The sequence below is a fragment of the Homo sapiens genome, chromosome X, assembly GCF_000001405.40.
Source record: "Homo sapiens chromosome X, GRCh38.p14 Primary Assembly".
NCBI lineage: Eukaryota > Metazoa > Chordata > Mammalia > Primates > Hominidae > Homo > Homo sapiens.
This window is the reverse complement of record NC_000023.11, coordinates 42945057-42949707: the sequence shown is the minus strand read 5'-3', so window position 1 is coordinate 42949707 and position 4651 is coordinate 42945057. Positions and strand designations below refer to the sequence as shown.

Genomic DNA, 4651 nt, shown 5'->3' with positions numbered 1-4651 from the left:
TAATCTTTCCAAATTTTCCTTTCATTTTTTTTCTGACTTGGACTTACTGAAATTAAAAATGCCTTTTTCCTGAAGCCCTGCAAGCTGAGGCTAGTCAAATTGGCTGTGGAGAAAAATCATTGCAATAGCTCATATTTGGACACACTTTACACGCAAATTACAATCTAGGAAAATCTGTCAGGTTGCCACTGGTCTTCTCAACTGGCTGCCCTCCAAACTTTAGAAGGACTAGCTTGCAGACTGCTTCAGACATTGGCTTTCTTTCCCTTCTATTTCCATAGAGATGCCTCTTATTAAAGATCTGTTTTCCTACATAATATAGTGGCCTAGCTTTGAGAGCCATCTGCAACACCGTCTTCTAAAATGAGGCACAGCTGTTTAGTTGAACTGGCCTAGTCCCAAAAATGAGAGACTGGTTTGGTGGGATCCTTTGCCATTCAGCTACTGGCTCAATTTTTTCTCCATAGCCACAAACTCTAGGTGTGAAACTTCTTGGTAAGTTTCAGACAGGGGAATGCTGGGTCGCAAAAACTAATACTCCCAAAATGTGACACTTCGACATGCTGAACTGAATAAGAAGCGTCAAGATTTCTCTGACCTCCCCCACTCTTTTCTCTCAATTCATTGTCTCTCTCAAAGCACTGGATGAAGTTCTTCTCTGAAATTCTCTTATCTGCCCAAAGTCTAGACCCATCAAAGAAGAAAACAATTACCTCTGGTCTCTTCCAGGGGGGTATTTTAAAAAGCTTTGAAATCACCCAAATGAGCCCTTTTCTTGTGGTAAACACTTCTAAGTAGTGATGATCACCTGCAAATTACACTTAGTTGCCGACTGCCCCCCATCCACGCAGGCCTTATGCTGACATTATCGAGGCTCACGCTTTATCAGAAAAGGAAACTACAGGAAATGAATCATGAATCATTATTTTTAAAGAGCAACTCCATCACAGCTTGCTTATCATTATTAATAAATGAAGAAAGAGGTAAAACATGTGAACAAAGCCCCTAAGATCTTTGTCTCTGTTTAGAGCCAGCAATTTTGAAATCACCTCACAGTAGCCTGTCTTGGAATAGATGCCTAGATAAGGGTTTGCCACTTACCCTGCTATATCACCTGAGCCAGGGTGATATTGGGGGTCTCTTTTCATTTTATCACTTTGAATTATAGATTGACACAGCTGACATTTAATCTCTATTATTCTCTCTTTTCAGCGTAAGTTTCTTGGGGGTTGGGGGTGCGATGGGGAGAAGAACCTAGATACTTTTGTGTCAAATCTAGCTTAGCTTTTGTTTGTTTGTTTGAGGAGACAAAAAGAAAATAAAACTAAATCTTTTTTTCATTTGGGAAATATGAACAAATAAAATCTTATAGGTTTTATAACCGGATTTGGGGATCCACTGAATAACTAGATACAGAGCAGCTAGAGGCACTTTCATCCACTTCAGTTCCATCATGACAATAAAAGCATATATCCTTAGAAGCGCACATTATCTCAAATGGAATGGTACAGGGAAAATAAGCTGGCTATACTTGCTCAAATTGCTAGTTGCTCGTATTGTCACTGGCAAATTGAGTTTTTTTCCCTACTTTGTATTGGTCACAGAGAAAGAACACCCAATTGGAACAAAAGGCAAGCAGGTTTTATTTCTTTCCAGAAATGAAGAAGGAGTAAGCTTACACTCTAAAGACCCTTTCTCCCCGACCAATAGAAGACATGGAGTTTTTAAGGGCTGGGTCCAAGGAGCAAGAAGGAAGGTTAGCATGTGTAGGGTGGGACTACACATGTGCAGACTTAACTCATAAACACACATCTTCGTACAACCCATGTACATAAAATGGCAGAAATTTTCTTTCTGTAGTGGGAATTTTAGCATTATGATGATATGTTAATGATCTAAAGGCCACTGGGGTTATCTCTTCCAGTTTGGGTTGGTTTCAGGGTCTTATCTCCCTCTGGTATCTGGTCAGGGGTCAGGAAGCTCTGACTCCATCATGGGGCTCATCTGTTTTTTTTAAGTGGCTGTACCTATAAATAAGGGCTGAAGAAAAACAGTAAGTAAAAGAACTTTCCCAGCTACTTCATCAGGGCTACCTTGATAACAAAATAATATTCACTTAGCATTTCTTCTCTAAAGTTGGCTAAAAATTTCCCAACTTTTGCTGCTAGGTTTGGCCAGGTAACTAAGACCTTGTAGGGACCAAGGGAAAACTTCCCATTCACCTTCTGAAGCCCCACTGAAAAGGCAGATTAGTAAGAGAAAAGGCATACAAATGTATTCATGTGCACGAAGGGAAAAATCACAGAGAGATTACCCCACCACACAATTGGGTAGAGATGCTTATTTACCCTTCTTCTTAGTGGAAAGGGAGATAGGGAAACATGGATGATTTTAGGGGGAGTAGTAAATGATTCTTAGGGGAATTCAATGGGCTCAGAACATTCAATGGCCTGGGACAAAGTCTGCTGGGTCCACAGAGCAGGCAATAGTTTATGACAAGTCTGTCCGGGTATGTTAAGAGACTTCAATCTTTCTTCTTGTGATGTAAGTTCACATGTTTAGCTCTTTTCTTCATTTATTAATAATGATAAGCAAGCTGTGATGGAGTTGCTCTTTAAAAATAATGATTCATGATTCATTTCCTGTAGTTTCCTTTTCCGATAAAGCGTGAGCCTCGATAATGTCAGCATAAGGCCTGCATGGATGGGGGGCAGTCAGCAACTAAGTGTAATTTGCAGGTGATCATAGAACTCATGGAGTGTTTACCACAAGAAAAGGGTAAGTGTAATTTGTAGGTGATCATAGAACTTAGGCGTGTTTACAAGAAAAGGGCTTCTTTGGGTGATTTCAAAGCTTTTTAAAATACCTCCCTGAAAAGTAAACTATTTTAATTTAAATTATTAGTCATTTCTACCCGAATCTGAATTACTCACATCAGATACTTTCTGTTTAAGATGTGAGCGAAAAAAGTTAGTCTCAGAGCATAAAGGCTTTGAATGGAGTGATGGGGTGAGCATTGAATAAGGAACAGGCAGAAAGGGAGGATTTTTATAGCAAAAATAGACAAATAGAAGTTGTAGAGTTGGGTTGGATGTCTCATTATAGGGGTAGGGGGAATGGTAAGAGTTTTAGACAGCTAGAGGCAAGTGGTAGGGTGCTGAGTGTTTGGAGAGAGAGAAATGATAACTCTGTTGAAGAAAAGGAAGAGAGAAGTTAAATACGAAGTTTTTAAACATAATTACATTTATTTGACCCCTTTCTCTTACATCCCACATAGCATCTATAAGCAAATCCCATAATCTCTATTTTAAAATATACCCAGAATTCCAGAATCTGACTATCCCACCTTATTTCATCACTACCACCCTAGTATAGTGAATTATTGCAATAGCCTCCTCACTGGTCTCCCTGTTTCCACCATTGTCCCCTTAATGTCAACTTGCCAGAAAGCAAACAGAAAGATCCTTTAAAAACAAAACTCACATCTTGCCACTCTGCTCAAAATCCTCCAGTGGCTTCTCTTGTCTCTCAGAAGAAAATCTTAACCATGGTCTCTGAGTCTGGCCCCTGGATCTCTCTTGACTTCACCTCCCAACTCTCTTTCCCTGGCTCCTTCTACTCCAGGTACTCCTTGCTGGACCTCTAACATGCTAACAGCTCCCATCTTCTGGGCCTTTGCATTTATGATTCCCTCTCCTAGAATGCTAGGATTTCCCCTCTAGAAATCCTCACTCACTTACTTCGTCATTTGATTCAAATCTCTACTTACAGATAATCTTTAGTGGACTTTGAATACTTGATATAAAGTATCTTGAAGTAAATACTTGATATAAAGTATAAAGACCTGAATACTTGATATAAAAAGGCATGAGCATTCCTCTGTATAACTCTCCATCCTTTTGCCCAGTCATATTTTTCCTCCTAACACTTGTCACAACTATATGTGTGTATATATATTTGTTTATTGATTCACTGAAGGCTTGTTTCTTGAGAATAGATTGTCTATTTTATTCTTTGTCTATAGAGAGCACCTAGAAGAGTGCCAGACACATGGTAACAGCTCAACAAGTGCTTGTTAAGTGACTTATATAAATTGCATGAAGCCTCAGAAAGGTTCTGGGAAATCTTAGAGAAAAATTTGAGAGAGCCTTACTATAAATGAAGTAAATGCTCAGAATCTTCTCAAAAGAGAAGCTGAAAGCTTTTATTCTGGCTCAAGAGTTGATGCTGCTTTGCTGAATTGCTGAGATAAATGTCTCTGTGGTGCATTTAAAATGTTGACTATCCTAGATTACTTGAAAAATACTTCCATCCAGTTACCTATAATCTTTCCTGGGACAATTATCAAATGTGCTTGTTAACATTAAATTTATCTTTCTGTTAAATGTTTTGCATTAGCTGTGATCATTTTTGAATAGACAAAGGGTCATACATTGTGCCAGACAAATTCTTTTTCTATCTCATCAGTGAAGAAAAAATTTCTATCCGTACATGACATACTTTGGATTTGTGGAGTTTTGAAGTTTCTACATATTTAATATGATTTTAATCCATTTAAGCTCATAATTTATTTTGTAGTCAGTCTTTGGAACCACACATTCTCCCAGCTTGGATAATATTTTCATTTGAGTATGGACATAATTTGGATCCT

At 38.6% G+C, this 4651-nt stretch overlaps 1 annotated feature.

Moving 5' to 3' along the window:
• Nucleotides 299–1214: an enhancer, noted in NCBI's record as "OCT4-NANOG hESC enhancer chrX:42807743-42808658 (GRCh37/hg19 assembly coordinates)". NCBI's record gives its function as "activates a minimal SCP1, AML or CMV promoter by ChIP-STARR-seq in naive H9 embryonic stem cells {active_cell/tissue: H9 hESC(naive)}" and the evidence as "EXISTENCE:reporter gene assay evidence [ECO:0000049][PMID:30033119]".